This window comes from Homo sapiens, chromosome 11, assembly GCF_000001405.40.
Source record: "Homo sapiens chromosome 11, GRCh38.p14 Primary Assembly".
In the NCBI taxonomy this organism is placed as follows: Eukaryota; Metazoa; Chordata; class Mammalia; order Primates; family Hominidae; genus Homo; species Homo sapiens.
This window is the reverse complement of record NC_000011.10, coordinates 12,233,694-12,256,041: the sequence shown is the minus strand read 5'-3', so window position 1 is coordinate 12,256,041 and position 22,348 is coordinate 12,233,694. Positions and strand designations below refer to the sequence as shown.

The 22,348-nt window shown below is 49.3% G+C and overlaps 1 protein-coding gene across 21 annotated transcripts in view, besides 1 other annotated feature; it reads right to left on the bottom strand.

The window, feature by feature from the left end:
- Positions 1-22,348, bottom strand: part of MICAL2 (microtubule associated monooxygenase, calponin and LIM domain containing 2) — a 251,551-nt gene that overhangs the window by 106,099 nt on the left and 123,104 nt on the right. For 11 of the 21 annotated variants that reach the window (NR_144417.2, NR_144416.2, NR_144418.2 and 8 more), the window contains 7 exons: positions 19,797-19,865; positions 16,457-16,606; positions 14,880-15,002; positions 13,610-13,828; positions 13,270-13,371; positions 11,930-12,055; positions 292-399 (listed from right to left, as the gene is read on the bottom strand). Coding sequence is in view for 15 of the 21 variants with exons in the window: in NM_001346293.2 (NP_001333222.1) it covers positions 292-399; positions 11,930-12,055; positions 13,270-13,371; positions 13,610-13,828; positions 14,880-15,002; positions 16,457-16,606; positions 19,797-19,865 (897 nt within the window). In the remaining 6 variants the exon portion in view is untranslated. 21 annotated transcript variants of the gene reach the window in all.
- Positions 13,560-14,084: an enhancer, noted in NCBI's record as "H3K4me1 hESC enhancer chr11:12263505-12264029 (GRCh37/hg19 assembly coordinates)". NCBI's record gives its function as "activates a minimal SCP1, AML or CMV promoter by ChIP-STARR-seq in primed H9 embryonic stem cells {active_cell/tissue: H9 hESC(primed)}" and the evidence as "EXISTENCE:reporter gene assay evidence [ECO:0000049][PMID:30033119]".

The window sequence follows — 22,348 nt, the reverse complement described above, 5'->3', positions numbered from 1 at the left end:
TATGCTCACGGCCTCACCTGGGCCTTTCTACCAGGCCGTTCTCCAAAGCCACAGAGAGCAGGAAGATCTCTATTTTCAAAAAGACCACAGGGGACCTGAGTGAGATCTGTCTTTAAGGAAAAGCAGGCTCCTTTTAACTTCTGCCCTGATTCAGCTCATTCTCAGCCCCCTCTTGTTCCAAGAGAAGAGGAGCCTCGGGAGGGCCAGGGCATCCTCTCGACATCCCATGTGCCCGCCCTGGGATGCCAGAGCCAGTGTCTGTGGGTGAAGGCTGGGGGTGCATGTCCTTACCAGGTCTGGAGAGGTGGCCTGGGCCTTAGGTCTGTGATCATTCATGTACAGATTGACCAGGACTTCAGCTGCAGCCCCTATTCCGCTGGACACTTTCCCTACCGTCAGCTAACCAAGAGCAGAGGCAGAGGAGACAGAGACAAAGGTAGAGGCCAGTTAGCACCCAGGAGGAAAACACAAGCAGGATGGATGGGGAGAGGGCTCCTCACCCACATGCAAATAGCACCCCACGACCCAGGAGAAGCAAAACCAGCCAGGAGCAGAACGCGGGGATTCTGGAGGTGGAGAAAAGAAAATAAATAAAACCCTGTGGCCGCAAAAACACAAGTACTCTAGGATTCCACTTATATGTGGTACCTAGAGTAGTCAAAATCGTAGAGACAGGCAGTAGAACAGTGGTTGCTGTTGTTTAGTGGGTACAGAGTTCCAGTTTTACAACAACTAAGAGTTCTGGAGTGGGAGGATGGTGAGGGTTGCACACGAAGGATGTATTTAATACCACTAAACCGTACCCTTAAAAAATGGTTAAGGCTGGCCGGGTGTGGTGGCTCACGCCTGTAATCCCAGTACTTTGGGAGGCCGAGATGGGTGGATCACCTGAGGTCCGGAGTTCAAGACCAGCCTGACCAACATAGAGAAACCACGTCTCTACTAAAAACACAAAATTAGCCAGGCATGGTGGTGCATGCCTGTAATCTCAGCTACTTGGGAGGCTGAGGCTGGAGAATCACTTGAACCTGGGAGGCAGAGGTTGCAGTGAGCTGAGATCGTACCATTGTACTCCAGCCTGAGCAACAAGAGTAAAACACTGTCTCAAAAAAAAAAAAAAAAAAAAAAAAGTTAAGGTGGTAAATTTTACGTCATGTATGTTTTAACACAATAAAAAAATTCGAGGAAAAAAAAGATTAAAAACCAAAAGCCTTTTAGTCCTGGGTGGGCCATGGGACTGTTACATTCACCGTGGGGTGCAAGGCCTTCCAAAGTTCCTGAGCCTCTCATTGCACAGATATGTACATGAATCCCAGAGAAGGGAACGGTCTATCTGAGGCCGCTTAGCAAATAAATTCAAGATTCCAGACTGTACTCTGGTCTCCTGCCCCCCAGCCCTGGGGCATTCACAGCTTCACTCAGCAGGGGCATGGGGTAAACGTGGTACTCAGACCCAATCATTACCCAAAAGCCCCAAAAACCTGCGAGTTAGACAAGCCAAGCAAAGAGGAGAAGAAAATCAGGAACCAAGCCCCCTCAGACAGAAAGGTAGACTGCCAGACTGCGGCCACCCTCTTCCAGAGACCCCTTGTCCCCGGAGGGCTGCAGGCAGCTGCTCAGGGACCAGGAAGACCAGGGGAAGGGTATGGGCCCAGCTCCACCATGGGCCAGTGCTGAGACTTGGCGTAAAGCACAGAACTTCTGAGCTCAGTTCCTCATTTAGTAAAATGGGGAGAGTTATACCTGTCTCCCGAGTTTGTGGGAAGGACTGCACGAGAGAATGTGTGTCCTATTGCCTGGCACTTGGCAGGCTCTGGGCCAGGACTACCTTGTGTGATATTGTGATATGGTCGGAAATACATATTTGGACTCTGCCCCCTGGTTCCTGAGGCAGAGCTCCTAAGACCTTTGTACCTTTCTGAGTGACAGCAGCATCTGATGCAGAGATCCTAAAGCCCCTGGGATTTCCTGGGTGATAGGAGCATCCTTTGCTGGAACGAGGTGACTCTTGAGCTCCTGGATAGCTTCAGGATGGGGCTGGTTGCCAGGGGAACCAACCCTGTGATTAAAGGGTTGGAACTTTCAGTCCCACACACTGACCTACAAGGGCGGAGAGGCTGAAGGTTGAGTTAATCACCAACAGCCAGTGATGTAATCGATCATGCCCTTCATAACGAAGCCTCCATAGAAACCGAAAAGGTTAGGGTTTGGAGCTTCTGGAGGGTGGACCATGCAGAGGCCCCTGAAGGGCAGTGCCCCAGAGACGGCAGAGAGGTGCCCACCCTTTCCCACATGCCCTGCCCTGTGCCTCTCCTCACCTGGCTGTTCCTCCCTATCCTTGATAAGATCCTGTATAATAAACCAGTAACCGTGTTTCCCTCCTCGGGTTTAACTAATTTGCAAGGATCGCTCGTAGAACTCAGGGAAAACCTTTCCATTTATAGATTTTGTTGGTGGGGAGAAACATCCCCACTTTATTTGGTGACCAGAGGTGAGTGGTGTGAGAGTAGAGAGAAGCAGTTTTTTTCTTATACCTTGCTTCCTCCCTCCCTTCCCTCCTCTAGATTCAGCCTGCCCTAGCCTGCCTTGAAGCTCCCAGGTCCCTCCCAGCAGGACCACAGCCCACCCTGCCAACAAGAGCAGTATGTGGAATGGGCGCACACTGGGCAGGTAGGACAGGATGGGGACTGCAGCAGGCTCCAGAGCTAGCGCCAGGCAAGGTCGGCTTGGAGACAGCGAGGTGGCAGCTCTGCCTGGGCCCTGGGGTGCATGGCCCAGTGACAGGTTGTGGGTGCCTGTGCTCCTGAGGGTACCTACAAATGCCTGGACCCCCACCAAGGTGTCAAAGAGCTGGGGAAGGGGTGGAAGCTGACAGCCCAAAGAGCATGGCACAATTATACATACCCCCTTCTGCAAACCCCAGCTTGCTCTCCCCTTCACCCCTCACCCCCAGCTCTGGAAGCCTGCTCTGGAAGCCCACCCTGGTATCGCTGCAGTCTCTTCTTGTGGGAGGTAAATACACATAGCATGAGATTCTAGAAACACTGCTCCTGATCCCAGGATCGTAGAGTGAGGGAAGCTCTAGGTCCTCCCCAGCTTCTGAACCCAGCCTCTGGGAGATGTGGCCAGAGAGAGCAGCAATGGAGGCTGCAGGGCCTCTGGGCAGGGGTTGATATCCATCACCACACCAAATAACAGTAACTTGTGTGTGGGTGAAATGATGACTTCCATCAAAACCCAAGACTGCCCTTGGGAGGTCACATCTAAACTGATAAGAGAAAGCCTCAAACATAAAGCAGGGAGTCCAGGGAACTGCAAAGCAGATGACGGGCTCACCACAGCTCCCCTATTCCTGGTAGCAGTGCCCATCCTCAGGGCCTAAGGCTAACTCACTGGCTTCCAGCGAAAGCACAGGCACTAAATAGGGCTGAGCAGGGAAAGGAGTGCCTGGCAGACTGGTGCAAACAAAGCCCAGGAGCTCCTTGCTCCCTTTCTGATTAGGAAGCCCAACATTACAGCACCTTTGGAATGGTCACTCCAGACCATGTGTGTGGCTTTGGGGCCTGCAGAGGACATGGATGCAGGCTTGCTGGGGGTGTCTGATCCCTTGAACTTAGACAGATGGGACCTCATCAGAGTTTACCAAGCCTGCCACTTCTTGGGAGCAGCTGTCAGGCCTGGCTCCCCCTTCCACCCTGGCCTCTACTCTGGCCCAACCTGGGAGGGATTAGGATTCTGCTTCTAAGCATACTGTCTGCCATTTCCAGGAGGCCACAAATGCCAAGAAATTTAGCCCCTGCTTCCAAGAAAGGTTCAGGTGTATCAGCTCAGGACAATAAGCCATTGTTTGCCTGATGTTCCATCCCCTGCTGGGGCCCCCAGCTTGGCCCCTCAGATAGGGGCTATAGGATACAAAGGACTTCCTGGGCTTTGTGGGAGGAAAGGCAGGGAGGTCAGTTATATTCTCAGCACTGCCTGCCCAGCCCCTTGTGTGACTGCCTCCACTGGCACAGTGTGTGAACGGGCTCCACGGTATTCTCCCAGAAAGGCACCACAGTGATGCCAAGATACCCATGCACAATTACTGCCTCCCCTGAGTAAGCAGAGACTATACTTTTTGGAGCTTTTAATACAAATCCCTAATGAGACCTTATTAACTACTTAGCTAATAAGCACTTTGTGCACTGAGCTTCTGAGCAACCGTGACTTGGGGAGGCATTACTGAAGCATGCAGAGGGCTGCGAGGTTGCTGGGAGGTGCAGCCAAAACTGAGCAGCTGCAGAGCTGCTCCATTGTCCTGCAGCACAGGGCACAGTCTGGGTCATCTGCGCAGGGGATCCAGGATGAAGACCACACCTGGTCCCACCTTTCATTAGGTCCAAAAGCCCCCTTTCTCCCCGTGGCACCCACACATCCACCCCGAGAGGGTGACATTCCTTTTTTTTTTTTTTTTTTTTTTTTTTTAAAGTGAAATGGAAGCACCCTTAAGGAAATCAGTACTGGGTCTCCTACCTGCCCTTCCCAACCTGATGAAATGCATTCCAGAATCACCAAGAGGTAGACCAGCACTTCTTTGAGAGGCCACAGGGAAATAAGGTGATGGAGAACTTGTCTCCTGGGATGAGGGGAGAGCCTTTGAAGCCAACCCCAAAGGCCAATGTGAAGGTGAATGTTGCCCTGGGCATCAAGGGTTATCTTCTATTTCTTGACAGCAGGACGGCCTTACCGGCTCTCAGAGTGAGGATATAACTAACTAGCTGGCTTCTGCTAGCTCACTGCTCCTCAAACTCACTGTGGCTTAGCTCACTGCTCCTCAAACTATCTGTGGCTAATGACAGGTTTTTTCTTTTTAAACATTTAATCCATTATGGCCTGTTATTTCCAGATACAATGAAAATAAACTAGAAATATGATCACACACTTGAATGTGTGGCAATATCAAATGGTTCTACAAGTTTCCAACACTTACTCTCTCTCACTTGCTATAATCATGGGATTACAGCCCAGTCCCTGCCTGTGGCCCACACTTTGAGTAGCACTGCTCAGGTTCTCACGATCCTGAGAAATAAATGCTCAACTCATGGAGAAATCCTAGATAAGTCACCCTGGTGTGGACCTCAGGGTTAGAGCCAGTCCAGTGGTTCCTACCAAACAGAAGCATGCATTGATGGCAAGACACCACACTCCTGGGGAGGCTGGTCAAGAGAAGAGCTTATAATTAGGCTGGGAACAATTCATCTAAATGCAAAGTTGGACAATCTGATGATCTGGTCAAAGATGATCATGTTCCAGCCTCTAGTTTTTTTAAGAACTAGTAATTTCAAAGTCCCATGGGACTGCTTTTGCAACCCTTTAAATATCTCTCAATATTCTTGTAATTTTCAAGAATTTAGGTGCTTTTCATTACCTTTTCCTGCCTTTTGAATTCTAATTATTTTTCAGCAAATTAATTAGAACATTTCAGGAGGGCAATCATCTCACATTACACGAGGTTAACCTCACATACGCCATTTCCCTTCTGTGAGCCTCAACTTCTTCATCTGTAAAATGGAGAGACTTCCACCAACCTTGCAGGGCTGAGGAAAAGACTCCTGAAAGAACCTGGGCCATGCAGGAGGCACGCGGCAGATAGTGAGTCCAAAGCACGGCCATTGGGATAAATGCTTGAGGGAATGGATACCCCATTCTCTGTGATGTGCTTATTTCACATTGCATGCCTGTATTCAAACATCTCATGTACCCCATGCATATATACACCTACTACGTACCCACAAAAATTAAAACAAAGCACGGCCGTTTGTGCAGCTTTGCATTTCCATGTTCTGGGACTTCTCTCTTGTCTTAAATCACTTTCCTCTGCACAAGAGTGGCATGGCCCACACAGGACGAGCTCCCTGCCTCCTCTCCCCAGAGCCAATCTAGATAGAAACACGGCGACGCAGCTGTTGTCACACGCACCCATGCCAGAGGCTGCAGACGATGGCTAGACCTCTACAAAGAGGCATTTTCCAAGTGATCCTGTGACCCCACGCAGAATGATGGTCCCCGCCTAGATATCAGAGCGTTCCTCACACTGCACCGAGCTGGCCCATCTCTTCCTCAGTTTGCACTCCCTGAGTGACCTGTCTTATTCACCTCGACATTCCTGGCACAAGGCAGAAACTGCGAATGCAGGAAAAAGCAGGCTCCAGGCCCTGTTTGTGTGAGAACAATGGAAACGTTCCTCCCTGTGCCTGGAACTGAGCCAAGATTACCAGGTGTCCCGGCTACACTTCTCCGCTGAGTTTGGCCACCTGTGGCCACACAGCCTGCCAGGAGCATCGAGCAAGCCCACGTGGGTAAGGCAGCAGTGAGAGCAGAATGTGCAGGGCCTCAGAAGAGAGGGCTCACAGGAAGGGGAGCTTTTGACACGTAGGGCTAGAGGTGGTCTGTTGGATCCACTTGGGCAAGGACATCCTCACTGAGGAGTCCCTGTATGAGAAGACATCAGAGGACAGCCTGTTGGATCTGATTCCTCGGCCATATGCCCAGGGCTGGGGGTAGGAGGGCAGGCAAAGAACTGAAATCACTGTGTTCAAGGGTGTCTGGAAATTACAAGTTCAGAGCTGAGACGCAGGCAGGCCTTAGGGGCTGTGAGCTCCCAGTACAAGCACATGTCTGCCCACCTTCGTCCCCTGGTGCCAGGCACTGTACTGCTGCTGATCATATGCGCTTAACTCCCAGAGCCCTGCAGGTGGGTCTGATAATCCCCCTTTGCAGGTGAGGCAGCTGAAGTTCAGGGAGGCTCTAACTCACCTGAGGATGCACTGTTCTCAAATGGCTGGGATGAAAATGGAACCCTGAAGGTGACTTCTTTTCCTTTAGAAAGAGAGGGATCAACATGCATTTTAGGTAAATAAGCTTTCTTTCCGAATTCTCTTCCACTGGGGAAAGAGAAGCTTTACAGGATACTTCAGGCATTTTGCATAGGTTAGGACATTGCAGTATTCCAGTTACCCTCAAGAGTAGTTGCTGTCCTCTCCACTTTATAGGTTAAGAAACTAATGCTCAGAGAGGTTCACAAACTTGTCCAAGGCCACACAGTGAGTAATTGGTGCTCTGAACTGAAGTCTGATTTGAAACTCATATCCTTCTTCCACACCAGCACTACGCAAATTAAAATCCCCCAAGCTGGGATGCACACAGGAGACCTCCAAAAGGTTGCCTAGCTCTATTCCCAGGATAGAAGGAGGAACAGTGAGGTTGGAGGCAGCCTTGAGACCTGTCCCTGAGATTTATCCTCCTACCAGGTCAAACAAAGGCGGGATGCCCCAGACAAAACTTCCCAGCATTTCCCTGTTTCTCTCTACTATGCAAATCTCTCGAGTAAACCCTGCAAATCCAGTTTTAAAACAAACACCCCAAGGGTAGAGAAAGCTCCTTTTGCAATGCTCAGTGCTCTTCTGACCCTGGAGGACTGAGGGGCAATTCCCAGCCCAGTGAAGGCCCCCACCCCTCCCACTTGCCCAGCTGTGCAAACGCTCAGTGCCTTCTTGTTCCTGCAAGAGCTCAACGGCATGGCAAACAGCCAGCAGCCAATAGCCATTCCATGGGCCAGAGCAGCACAGTGGCCTCCCTTCTGGAAGAGCGAAAGTAACTAACGGCTGATAGGGAGCTGAGATCACAGAAGAGGGCTGGTTTGGTGGGATAGATGAGGAAATGGTTCTGGGGACATAAAACTGGGCATAGGTCTCACAGTCCACAGCCTGGAAAGACAGACTCTGCCAAGGATCTGAGCCCCCCGTGAGAGCCCTCAAGACTCCCTGTGACCATTCAGGCCAAGAAACCCACAGCACCACTCTGAATTTTAAAGTGGAATATCAATCTGAGAGGGCGGGCAAGTGGAGTCTGAAGGCAGAGCCCTGGCTCCCTGTCTTGGAGTCAGCAACTCAAGTTTGCATCCCTGTGAGTAACAATTGCTCCTCATAGTAAGTTTGGCTAAGTCTGTTCCCATGAGGAGATTATTATTCACGGATCCTCGGAATCAGTGTGGAAGACCATAGGGCAGGAACAGAGACATGCTGCCTGCCAGGAAGTTGTCAAGGACTAAGCATCAGTTTCCAAGTGCATTTTTCTTCCTCTTGCTCCCCTGAATTCAGGTGAACTTGGGTCCATTGAGCAAAAAGAGCAGCCCAAAATCTGTTTGGAAGAAGTATTAAGGCCCCAGACTCTAGGAGAGAAACTCCCTGAGCTGCACCAGGATAGAATAAATCTGTTTATCACCAAATCATCACCTACTTTAAGGAACAGCCAGTTCTCTCCCTAGAGGTGGTTGTGATTCTGCCAAATTCTGCATGTGCAAAGCCCAGTGCTGAATCAATGGTGGGGCAGAGTTTGGGGAGTGAGGGAAGTCAAGGCAATGGGTGAGGCTGGCAATATCCTTTCTAAGACTGCTTGAAACCAGAAACTCACCACTCCATCCATAACTGCCTAAAATGGCCTCACAGTGTGACCTGCATGAACCTGCGAGTGTAGGTATTCAGAGAAACTGAGGCACAGAGAGGCTAAGTGACTTGCCCAAGAGTCCATTCTAAGAGGTCCTCCATCATTCCCAGCCATACTGTGAAAGAAACATCAGCCAATAATTAAGATGTTGGAAGCTGTCGAAATAGCCCAATTACATCATCTAATGGCCAACGCTGGCTAGGGAGAAAGAATTTTTTAAAAGAACAAAAATGGGGCAATTGTTCTACCACAACTGGGGAGGAGCAAGGAACAAAGCTGTAGAGGTGGGGACAGCAGATCTGGGGTTGGCCACCCCAAAGCCCTCCCTGTCCCTGAGTGTGAGGGTTTACATGCACACAGCCTCTGGGCCTCTGACAAGGCCTCCATGCATGCGTGGCTTCTGCAGGACACAGGAGAGCACTGGCCTGGGAGTCCGAACGCTGGGCTCCAGTCTCCTCCCTGAGCCTTTGCCTTCTTACCTGTGACTCTGCTCCTGCTCAGTTCTCACCATCACAGGAAGAGCTCTCCAGCCCCCACCCAACCACTCCATTTAAAATTGCCACCCTTCCCTCCCCAGCATTCCAGGTCCCCACCACCAGCTCTAATTTTTTCATAGGAAATATTATCTTGCCCTCTAACACATTATATAATTTACTGATATATTGATTGTTGTAGGCTTGTAGGGTGTAAGCCTCATTAGGGCAGAGATTTAACTCTTATTCATCAATACATATCCTGACAGCCTGAAATGCCTAACAATGGATTTTCATTCAATAAATATTTGTTTACTGAGGGTGGTGATTCACATCTATAGTCCCAGGTACTCAGGGGTGGAAGGCTGAGGCAGGAGGATCACTCGAGTCCCAAAGTTTGAGGACGCAGTGAGCTATGATCATACCACTGCACTCTGTCCTGGGTGACAGAGAGAGACCCTGTCTCCAAAAAAACAAAAAAATTAAATTTGTTGAAGGAATGAATGTTCACACATTGGCTTTTGGAGTGACATTGGTGGAGAAAGCTCCTTTTGCAATGCTCAGTGCTCTTCTGACCCAGGAGGACTGAAGGGTAGCTCCCAGCCCAGTGAAGGGCCCCCCTGCCCAGCTGTGCAAAGGCTGTGCCTTCTTCTTCTTGCAAGAGCTCACCAGCGTGGCAAATGGCCAGCAGCCATGCCACAGACCAGATCAGCAATGGCCTCCCTTCTGGAGGAGCAAAATTAACTAATGGCTGATAGGGAGCCGAGTCCTCAGGGGAGGGCTGCCTGAAGAGCCAGAGACAGCAGCAGGCAGGGCCTCAGCCGGTGTGATGCTGATGTGATGGGGACACGCTTAGTGGCTGACAGCATCTCTGTCTTACCCAGCAGCTCTGCATGTTTCCAGCAGGCTGCTCCCTGCCGTCTCTTAGAAGGATCTAATGCCCGGTGGAAACCAAGTCAGGGTATTTGGGAAGTGTAGGAGCTTTTCTTGCAGCAGTTTTGGCCCCAACAGTGACCACGCCAGACTTTTCTGGGGATGAGAGAAAGGCAGGGACAAGAGAAGGCTTTGCCTGGCTCTACCCTGAAGGGCCCAGTCAGCTGGAGTGGGCTGGGCCAGAGAGAAGCAAGGTGTGGGCCTGGCTGACCAACTATGGGCACAAGCCACTGCCTGGTCCGTGCCTAGGTGCCTTCTCCCCTCCCACCATCCTGCCAAGGGTGCCATGACCTTTTCCCGTAGTAGGGAGTATACCCTGGGGAAGGTCCCTTTCCCTAACTGGGCAAAAAGCCTACCCTGCAACCTTGCTGATGGTGATGACAAAAATGCCTGTCTCCACCCATGTTGCTCACTGTAACATGAGCCCAGAACCACTCTTACTGAGGAGGAGGAGGCCCAGACAGGTCAGGAGGCTTAAGGTCAAACAGCTGGCCTGTGGCTGACCTGGAGCAGGTGGCTGGGGATCTTGATATGCTGACCATGGCTATTTTCAGTGGCATTGAAGATCCTGTTAGCGTTTCTCTGTGTTACCTGCTGCTGCCCTTTCTGGGGTGCTTCCCATTAACACTGGTGGCCTCAGATGGGATGGGGCTGGTAAGATTCCTTGCTCCTTTCTTAGGGACTCTACCTACACCGTTCTCCTCACAGAGGTGGAGGCCAACAGGGGTGGGACCCCCAATTACACACCAAGGGGCAGCTTCTAATTTTTCACTAATGCAATAGCATGGAGCTGGTTTGTGCATCAGTCTAACAGCACAGAAACAGACCAGCACTCCTTCTGGCAGCGGCACGTGCAGCATGACACACAGAGCCTCGGTGGGAGCCAGACGCACTGGCTGTGAACAGAGAAGCACAGTTGGTGGGTGGAGTGGGGGAAGACTCCAAACCTACTCCATGAGCAACAGCTCATGAGGTAGGCTTCACGCCCATTTCTAGATTCATTCATTCCAGAGGCCAGCCTTCCCAGAAGACAGACCCTCTCCCACCCAAGCCTGGTATTATTCTCAGCACAGGAGGTAACAGGAGGACAAGTGAAAAACATGAAAAGCACCCCTAAACCCAGTCTTAATCATTGTTTGTGAGTGCATTTCATTAACTACTTAACCAAAGTTAGCTCCCCACTCTTCTCATCCTCCAGGCTGATCTCTGCACTACTGTCTGAGCTGTACTTCTAGAACACAGAGTAGATCCTGCAGTGGCTTCCTATAACCCAGAGGATAAAATGAAATTCCTTTACACAGAGTGTGCTCACTTCCACTCTCCATGCCCCCATAAATACTTTTATCCCCAAGTTCAAGTCACACCAGACATTCCATCTTTCCATGTCACGTAAGCCCTGCCTGCCTGCCTTTGCACAGGCTAGCCCCTCTCCAAAACACCCTTGCCCTAAACTTCTCTCTAGCAAAATCCCCCCATGGAACCTTCAACACTCACTCAGTTCCCATATTACCTTCTCTGCATTACCTCCCCATCTTCTCCCCTCTCCATTCCTACAATCTTGCCCTTTAAACCTCTTATAGAATGAATGAATAGTGTTACGTTAAGTTTATCATGTGAAATTGCCATCTTATTAGGACAAAACAGGCAAATATCAGCAGTATGTGATGTGATATTTCATATTATAAAAATGTCACTTATTTCTATGCTAATGTGCTATTTCCCATCTCAACTGTAGTAAGGGAACTGCACCGCCCTCTCTGTTTTCTCAGCATCTGGCACGAAGGGTGGCATACGGTGGGCCCTGATTAATGCTTGCTGAATGAATGAGCCCTGTTTGGCAAGCTTTTGTACACTGCCTGTTCTGCCGTGTTGTGTGCTCTAACACAAAAACAAAATTGAATCCAGCACTGGTGTAAAATATCTTACAAATTTTTATTCCAGCCAAGCCAGGCTCAAGATGTTTGTGCAGGTCAAGTGGAGCATGAGAACATCTGGGAACATGCAGGGAATAGGGAAAGCAAATTGTTCAGGACAACTACCTTTCTGGCAGGAGAAGCAGAGTCAACAGTTGATGGAGAGGAAGAAGCAGCTGGATCAGGAGACGGAAGGCGAGAGGGAGGAGATGGAGGATGAGTATGAGACAGGCCTTTAGAGAGTAGTTTATTCTGCACAGAACAGAAATAGAAGAAACAAGGATTATCCCAGGAGTCACACATGGTGATACATGCCTCAATCATGCAGTCCCATGCCTGTGCACTCAAGAAGGCAAAGAAAGGAGACCCATGTCTCAGGACAACACAGAAACCCCTGTCTTTGGAGCCAGAAAGGATTATCTGGCTCCTGGTTACACTGCATTCTGCTGCAACTATTCCAGCTCCCTTGTCACACCGAAATAGCTCATGCAGATTCAATCTGTTCCTGCCTACATCCGCCTCAGACACCGATGCCAATTACCAAAGCCCTCACCCTGGAGCTTGGTATGAAGTAGCAGCTGCGAGCTTAGGAGAGGAGAACCCTGGGCTGCTTTAGGGCAGGTGGCCACAGCAGGGGCCTCTATAGCTGCAGCAAGCAACTGTGCTAGCCTCCTGGCAGGCATGAGGAATCCTAAAAATGAACGAAGTGTAAAGCATCCTTCCCACGCCAGTGACTCCACCAAGTAGCAGAAGAGGAGACTAAGTGAAAACAGTGGAGAGGCAAGTTCTAGGGACAGGTGTGCTGTGAGGGAGGGAGGACTTTACACATACACCCACCTGTAGGATCTCATTATCAACTCTTTCATTTCCTCTTGAGCACATGCTCTTCTTTTCAGCAAATTTCCAAATAAGTACCTGGCTTGGAGGAGGCTCTACTTCCTAATTCTAAGGCAAAGCCATTCTTGTTGGCTTGACTTTATCCCATGGGGAAGCAGAGCCCCAGTTGCAGCATGTGGTTGGCCTCATCATTCAGTATCTTCCTGATCAGGGCCACAGGGAGATTTCTCTCCCACTCAAAAACATCACAAGCAACTGGGTAAAGGCATTGTGATTCTGCAACTGATGACTGTTTCCTCTTTGTGTTGACCCTTAGGAAGCTCAGAGCCTGCTTGGAAAATACCTAGGGTCTACCGGCTTGTGCTTCTTATAGTAATGCCTTTCTCGATCTGTGTTTACTTTCCTGTCTTAGTTTTTCCTTTCTCATGATGTATTTATTTATTTTGAATCTTCGCATTTGGGTCTTTTCTAGATGCCAGCTTGTATTATTTGGTGGCTTGAAAAATAAAGAGCTCTTCATGCTCTAAAAGGAGGAAGGAGGAGAAAATTGAGCTCAGAGCCTGATTCAAGGTCACCTGGCTGGATGTCCAGCATCAGGTTCCTGGGGGCTCTGAAAGCCCCATGTTTACCTGCGGGAAATCCCCGTGTCCAAACATGGAGGCAAGGTGAGCCGCCTTCTCCTTAATGTTCTTTGTGTGAAATTCCCTGTTGGCCAAGTTCTGAGCCCTCTTCTGCAGTGAAGGTGAGAAAGGAGAAAGAAAAGAGAGATAGTGACAGAGACTGAGACAGTTGGCTTCCAAGAAGTGGGTGAGGGAGGCAGCCGGGGGCCTTGCCTGCTCACCACACACAGCAGGATGAGAGACAGGGGGTGGGCAGAGGGAGGAGGAACCCACCCGGGTAGGAGGAGGGAGGGGAAGAAAGGAAGTCACCCAGACACGGACAGAGACGGGCAAAAAGTGAGTCTCTCACCTGGAGAATCTTTTCCTCCACTTGCTGCAGCCGCCACAGCACCCCGGAAAGAGCCTGCGCCCTCGGGCGGGTAGAAGGCAGGGTAGCGAAATTTTCTGTCCCACCCAGCTGTAGGTCAGACTTGGCTCTGGCTCTCCAAGGTCTGCTCAGGCACTCACTGCCAGCAGACACTTGCTTGAGCTCTCTGAGCACGTGCCCCGTCACGACCACAGAGGGGAACTGGGAAAGAGGGAAAATTAAGCTTCCTTCCCTACTGCGGCCCTTTCATACACCCTCACCATGAGGGATCCCCCATGAAGACCAGAGACAAAGGGTGCACCAGGTGCAACCCTAAGTAAGATTCCAAACTAGCCCCAGGTGTTGACTCTCCACCACCTGCATCAAAATTGTCTGGCCTCCTCATTCACAATACACAGTCTGGGGCCTCACCCCCAACCCCCTGAATCAAAACCTCTACAATGCTGGTTCTCAATCCTAGCTGCATACTGACATTTAGGGTACTTAAAAAAAAACACCCAAGCCTGGGGCCAACCCCCAGAGATTTCGATTGGATTGCTCTGGACTGGGCATGAGACATTGGTAGTTTTTTAAAAGTTCCCCAGGTGAGGCAGACAGACATAAAAATTGCTGCATTGTAGTCACACCGACCTTACTCAACCTCCACCACCTGGGAGCAACACACAAATCCTAATGCTGACCAGACAACTTTGTGGCTTATGGTCAATAACAGTGATTCGGTTCAGATTCCAAACTCAGGAGCACTACCTGCCATAAGCCATACTCCGTGACTGCCAGCTGCCTTCCCGCCCGCTATGCAGGTCCTCAGCTACTCTGGCACCGGCAAGGCCTTCGCCACATCCCAGCCTTACCCCTTCAATGGGTCCAGCCAAGTGGCCACCTGGGCCCATTCCAACATCACTTTTTCATTGATATGGAAATCAGCCTATTTGAATGGTCTGCAGATAATGCTTAGTGTTATAGGGCATCATACAAAATACCCTGTGGTACAGTTTATTTTTCCCTAGCAGCACCATCGAGAGCATGGTATTTGGTCAATTGATACCTCTGACTGGCTAAGGGATCAATAAAATGTATTTTGTGATGTTGCATACTTGGTTATTCTTACCTATAAGTGTGGTGACATCAAGGTGTGTCCAGAAAATCTACAATCAGCCCTACTTGGGGTGTGGGAAGAGCCACTGACCCCACCCATCTGGATCAAAGTCCCCTCTGGCTTCACCAAAACAGCATCCACTGGAAGGAGCCCTACCTGCCTTTTCAGAGGAGGTGATGGGCTGGGTGTGGCCTCCTCCGGCTTGGGGCAGCAAGAGTGAACAGGAGGGCCGGAGGAAGAGCACAGGACCGGCTTACCTATCCCTGAGACACGGCGTTCCTGGGAGAAGAAAGGCGAGTCCAAAAAAGCAGCCACAGGAGACATGAAGGAAAAGGTGAGTCAGATTGAGAGGCTTGGAGGGAGAAGAGAAGAGGAGCAGGGAGACGAAGGTTGCAAGTGCAGAGGAAGCACTGGGCTGAGCTCCCGCAAGCCGGGCCCAGCTGGGAAACTTGAGCCCTGGCTCCCTGTCCATGTGAACAGCAAGTCCTGGAGTCCCCTTCTCATGGACAATGTGTGAATCCCAGGGTGGCTTTGCTTTTGGCTCAGACACAGGGCCTTAAGCAGGCACTGCCAGAGCCCATGCCAGGCCAGGGTGGCTAGGCCAGGGTGGCTGGCCCAGGAGTCTACCTGGAAACAGAAAAGCTTCCTGCCCACTCAAGGACAGGGACGCTCCGGTGCTTCTGATGGAATGGAGCCCTCATCAGCACTTGGGGACTGTGAGGGGCCAAGCCTCCAGAATGGGCAATCAAGAAAATTTGTGGAGAGTTACAAGTCTCAAGGAAATGGCCCCCTTATAATAAAATTCCTTCACTTCCTGGAGAAGGTCAGTTCTCCCAGGAGGGACACAGTCCACATCAAGACTAAGGAGACATCTATGGTTGCCTCAAAAGCTAATTAACTATGAGTCTGTCCTCCCAAAAGGAGTCTCATTCTGTCATGTGACAGGTGTTCACCATAGAAAAACCCAACCTCTTTTCCCAAGCTTCTGTAATGTGACAACAGCACCCTAAAGGAAGTTCAGGGGAGCAAACGGAACCACGAGGCACAGACCTCGGAGCCGGAGTCAGAAGGAAGCCTACAGCCTGACGCAGCATTCTGCCTCCTCCAGCCTCACACTAACCCCCATCAGACAAAACAGCCCCGCCAGGCTGACCCTGGTGCAGGGAGAGAGGGGAGTGCCAGGAAACACCTGGGAGGTTGGCCTTCAATACTGTGAGCTCAGACTCAGTTCCTCTGGTTAGGATGGATCTTCTCACTGTGGACTTTGTACTTTCCCAGCCAGCCAGCCTCTCAAAGCTCCTTCAAACTGTATCACCTCAAAACTGGCTGCAAACCAAGTCACGGTTGGAAAGCAAAACCAAATTAGGGAATGGATTTATTTAATGCAGAACAACCACCAGCAAACTAGGCCCATGGGCCATACCTGGCCTGCTCCTGTTTTTTGTAAATAAAGTTTTATTGGAACACAGCCAGACTCATTTGTTTAGGTATTGTCTACTGCTGCTTTCATACTACAATGGCAGAGTTGTAACAGAGACAGTATGGCTTCCAAAGCACTAAAAAACTGCTATCTGGCCTCTTATAGAAAAGTCTGTTGACTCCTGATCTAGAAGGAGCTCAAGTCTCCTTGGGACCAGGCCTGGCTGGCATATCTGAAGTCTATCAGCAGCCAGAACATTCCTGCTGAAAAGTCACCAGGAAGTTAGGTCCAGTGAGTATTTGACATGACTCACCTGCTTCATGAGTGAGGGGTTCCGAGTGCTCTCCTCAAACTTGGCCAGCAGCTGATTCGCCATGGACTTGACTTTGTTCTGATTTCCACCTTCCTTACTGCTCCCACACTCTTGATTGGAGCCCAAGCTACGGCTGGAAAAGTTTGAAGGCTGCAAAGGTTGAAACGGGACACTGATGGTTGGATCCTGGAATCTGGATATCAGAAAGCAGACTTGGGGACTCAGGACGTGGGACTAGCTTCCCGCAGAAGGGCTCCCTCCATGGTCTGAGGAAGGGAGGCAGAGGCAGCAGGGCCACCCCCGCAGAGGCAATGCTCACAGGAGGGATGCGTCTTTCCAAAGGATGGGCACAGCTAGGCTTGGGAGCCAGGTGGTTGGGGTTTGAATCCCGACTCTCATTTCTTATCCCTGTGATGTTGGCGATTTACTTTACTTCTCTGACATTTTTTCATGTATAAAATGAGAACAGTAATCTACTTCACATGATTACTGCAAAAACCAAGTATAATCATGAAGTGTTGAACAAAATGGTTTTCAAAAATACATCATCTGGCTGAGAAGAGGAGAAGAGCAGGGGTTGGGGGCCAATGAAGGAAGCACGGGTGGGGTCACTCAGGCAAGGCCTGGGCTCTGGAGATCTTTCTCCTTTCTCCTCTGTACCTACCCCCAGCTTTAACCAGCCCTGCTCTATTTTTGCTATCTTTTTAAAGAAAAATTTTAATTTAGAAACAATTTTAGATTTACACAAAAGTTGCAAAGATAGCACAGACTGTCCCTGCATACCCTTCACCCAGCTGCCCACAGTGTTAAATCTGGAATAATTGCTCCTGTCATCAAGATTGAGAAATTAACACTGGCACAATACTATTAACTAAATTATACACTTTATTCGGATTGCATCAGTTTTTCCACTAATATCTTTTTTCTGTCCCAGGATCCCACACTGCATTTCATCACCCTGTCTCCTTGGTTTCCTACAAACTGTAACAGTTTCTGTTACAGAATGACACTTTTTGTAGGGTACTGAGCAGCTGTTTAATAGAAAGCCCCTCAATCTGGGTTGGTCTGATGTTGTCTCATGATTAGACTTTGGGGAAGGACACCACCGAGGTGAAATGCTCTTCTCATTCCAGTACAGCGGGCTGCATGATATCAACGTGACTTATAAGTGGTGATGTAGACCTTGATCATTCGGTTATGCTATTTTATAAAACGGAGTTCCATATAAGATTTCTCTAGCTCATCTGCTAACAGTGAAAAATTGAAAATGACCACTGTTTACTAAGAACGTCTGTTCCCCCTTACTACGGGATCTCCTCCCACAGGCCTCAGGAGTATAAATGGTGCTGCCACAGCAAGTGGGCAGTAAGTTTTCCCAAGGACACCAGGAATGTCCCTCACAGGAACAGACATTCTCACGACAACAAAGATGTGTTCATTTAGAAGAAATTCACTGGAAAAGGCAAGCTATAGTTAATTTTTTTTTAAAAAGATCCCTAGGTGTGGCAGCCCTATGGGGAACCTTGTATGTAGAGCCACTCTGAGTGTTGGACGAACACAAACCGAAGAGGCATACCCTCCTTCAAAGTGAAATGTAACTGTGCACAACAGCACAGGCTTGAGTGAGAAGAGGCTGTGCTTACTTGGGTGATCACTATTTGTACAAGACCAAAGTTAGCCAGGACGGTGGGCCATACAGGCCAGCACTTTCAGACATTAACGGGTCCACGAATCACCAGGAAATCAATCCTCAAAAGCAGATTTGCTTTCTGTAGGTCTGGGGTGGGCCCTGAAAGCCTGTACTTCTAACAAGCACCCAGCTGCTGCTGCTGCTCCTGGATCTTGGATTACATTTTGAGTAGCAAGAATTTAGAAAGAATATTGCTTTGTTAAAACTGACTTAAAGCAAAACCGTTGCCCCAGGAGACTGTCCAGGGCTGTCTCAGAAAGGGTAGACACAAACCAGATTTCTTCCCACTCCAACTCCTAGGTTGCCAATAACAGAAACAACACTCACATACCCTTAAATAAATAAGCCATGGGTGAAACATAGGAAAAGACTTCCACCTGAGACAAAGTGTACCCAAGGGAAGCTTCTTGGGAATAGGCAGGAGCAAATCCCAGGCCCTGAAGCTAGAGAGCTGACACCCGTAATCTGGGAAATGGAATGTGTCTGTAGCCTTGTGCAGTCTCCGCTTCCTCTCTGTGTCTCTATTTGCTGGCTTCTTGCTTACACCACAGCCAAGTGGTGGAGAAGAAACAGTGCTTCCTGAAGTGCACCTTCAAGAAGCTCTAGGAAAATGTTCAACCCAGGGTGTTTTGAACTCATTGGGTAGAATGGGTTTGTTCATATTTTAAGATGTGAACTGAACTCGTTTTTCTTTGTCAGCGCTTCCCTTTGACCATCACAGATAATGGGTTGAATGGCTGGCTGCTGCTTTCCCCAAGGTGAACCTCATGACTCTATTTATTATAAAGCTCACTGTTGTGAGGGGCAGCAAGTCAGACACGAACAACCATGTCATGCAACTATACAGCAATAAAAACTCTTCGACCATAAACAGTAGAAAAAGTCCCTTCTACCTCCTATCAATCAGATATCAATGTATTATACAGACCGTCCCTCATGCCTCTAAGTCATCATTTTGAGGTCAGCCAGTAGGCTGGCAAAAGCTGGCATCCCACACTTCGCTGACAATATGCATGCTTGTGGAGTTGGAATGGCTTTTTTTGAATGACGTGTATATCTCAGGTCTCTTTTAAAAGCTGCCCAGGGAAGCAAGAACTGACACTCTTTCCCCTTGATCAATTTTTCAGAAGCAGGCAAGAGATTCAGGCTCTCCTTTGACAAAGTAACCTGTAATTTTCTTCTTTCACCAGAAGGTGGCACTTGTGGAGACCACGACATATGCCTTAAAGGCTAAAAGCAAAGGAAACACAAATGGATACAAACGATGATTGGGAGAAAAGTGGGAGTGCTGATGCCTCTTTACTATTTACTGTTAACAGTGGTTGTATATTGATTAACATGTGTCAGATACCATGTTCATCTTATTCATCTTTAAAAGTCCTGCCAAGTTTCATGTATTTCAAGTGTATCATTGCACGTTACAGACATGAACCACATCCTGGGAGGTTGTGTTTCTCAAGGTTACACAGCTAGTAAGTAGTGAAGCGTGATCCAAAACCCCAACTGTTTTTCCATCACGCCAAGCTTGGAACCCAGTGGTTCATGAGAGAGGGAAGGAACAGGGCCAGGCTGCTACCACAGTGAGGCTGCCTGTGGCCACTGGTTGTCAGGAAACGAGCCTCTGTTTAAAGCCACACTGTGTACACAAACCTCGTCCAGGTTGGTGAAGCCCTTCCGTCTCCGTTTGTTCATGTCATTCTCTCCGGTTTGACCATCCACCTGCAATGGCCAAGAAAGCAGGGTGAGCTCTGGGGGCCACCAAGGGCTTCAGTCCCACTAAGATCCCTGAGGGCATAGGGCTGGCTTTGAGCTGGCGCTGAGGATGTGTCCCTGCCCACAAACAGCTGTCAGCCTACAGGCAGGAGTGGTAGTAAATGACTCCGCACTGTGACAAATGCTGTCACAGGGTTTTGTTCAGGCACAGCGGAGAGAACCTCACTCCACCTAGGGAGCCAAGGCTTCGTCAGAAGGGGCTGGAATTACACCCCAAAAGATCTTCATGAAACATCAAAGCAAAAAGAATCCCGGTGACATAGGCAGGGCAGGGATGATCTCCATTGCAAAGTGGCCTTGGGCTCAGAGCAGTTTAATGGTTTGCCCAAGGCCACAGCCAGGTCTGCTGATGCTTTCAGTGTGCTGCCTCATGGAGACCAGCTGGGGTCTCTCTGCACCCAGGGAGCCTCTCTCCTACAAGAAGGTGACCGGGTTCACCTCACATGGACTCTCAGGGCTCAAATGAGCTGCCTAGGGATTTGATGGCAAATCAAGTCTGCAATTCACTCACCATCACAGATCCTAGTAAACAATATTTTATTAACTTCAAATAAGCATTAACTATAGCCTGATGACTAGCGTGACCATACAGCCTAGTTTGTTGGAGGTGGAGGGTAGTTCTGATTTACCGCTTTTTACCCCCAGCCTGATTGTTAACAGTGCCCCCTTCACTCTCAGAAGTCTCCTGGTTTAGATGATACATGACATGGTTGCCCTACTGAGAACGCCTCACAGCCCACTCTCTGCTGCCTGCATCTGGGCATTGAAATCCAGAAAGCCCTGCTCTACCCAAGCCCATTGCATCACCCTGCAAGGGCTCCCAAAGGGCACTCGGCTGTCAGGCTTGTCTCCTCAGGGAATGAGCAGAACTCTGGAGGCCGAGCTGATGCTATGGCTGGAGTGGGAAAGACTGAATTTAGTACCTCCTCCGTACCCCATGGGTAAGCCTACCCTTGTCGCTGGGCTAGGGTCCACCTAGGCTCCCCCATCCTTTTCTGGGGTAAGACCTCTCTGCTACCAGTCTTCAGCCACGGGAGCCTTCTCCAAATGGCTAGTTCTGTCAGAACCAGGGAGCCATGTCCCATTGACCATAGATCGCTTCTGCAGGGAGCCATCTACCCTCTCAGAGGGGGCTTCCATCGCAGGCCCATATTAAATCCTAGCCTTTCTACCATTTTGGATGCAGGGGGAAGTGCTGCAGGCCACCTGCTCACCTCAAACCCAGGCATACAGCCCAATCAGCCCCGTAAATCCTAACCTACCCGATCACAGGAGGATTCTTTTACCTCCTGGTTGTCTGAAACAACAACCCTAGCTACGGGTGCCCCAACACACAACCCAGTACGCATCCCCTCCCTCCAACGGAAAGCATCTGCATCCTCATCTCTTGTCCTCTTCATCATCCCCTGCCCTCTCCCCATATTTACCAGCACCAGATTTTTTTGTTTGTTTTTAAAGACAAGATCAACCACAGTTTAGTCCATTGATATTTGTTCAAAAATTTGCCCCAGGCAGCACAAAACAACACATCAAAGGGCCCTGCCTTCTCTTGAACGTTTTCCTCAGCTTCTGATAAATCATTATTCTGTGAATGGAAAAGATTTTAAGCCAAAAGCTTGGGCAAACACCAAGAGAAACAGATGATCTTATTTGCAACAATGTTGGGTCTTAGAGGAACAGGCTGTCTGGACCCCCAGCTCCACAGCCTGGGAATGCTACTCTTGCCAGCCCAAACCTGGGGCCTGTGAAAGTACAGAATGTCCTACCCAACAAGAATGCTTCATGCATAATCTTAGGGTTTTCTGTTGTTTTTTTTTTTTGGTTTCTACCTTAAATGAGGATTTGGCTTTTCCTCCAAAGGGCAAAACATTTTACTCTCTTTTGTACTCAACAAGCCCAGGGTGGGACTGTTCCACGGGAGCCTATATAGATTGAAGACAGCCATATTAGCCATGGGCTTATGAAGGGCATTCCTGGGGAGGCCGTGCCCACCAGCAGCTCCTAAGAAGACTCCAAATCCTTCAGGGGGAATAAAGGACATGGACGGGGACAACCTCAGCCCCTCTGACCCACCCTGACCCATGGGACAACCAAATGCAGTCTATGGAAAGGTTAGCAACACATATACCCAAATGGTTTCTACTCTTCCTTATGAATTTAACATTGAAGCACTGATTCTCAACTAAGAGCTAGGCTAAGACAAAAAGGTTAAGAACACTCAAACCTAGAGATTTATCTACTTTTTTCTTATCTGTATATCTATATTTGTGAACCAAAATTGCTTCAGTACTCCCTTTTCCTTGGACCCTGTTTCACTCTACAAAGAATTCAAAGTACAAGAAGAAAGAAAATACTTACTGTGCCCAAAGAGAACATGAGAATAAATAACTTATGTTCTTTTCCCATTAATGTTTCCAGCTCTTCCGCCC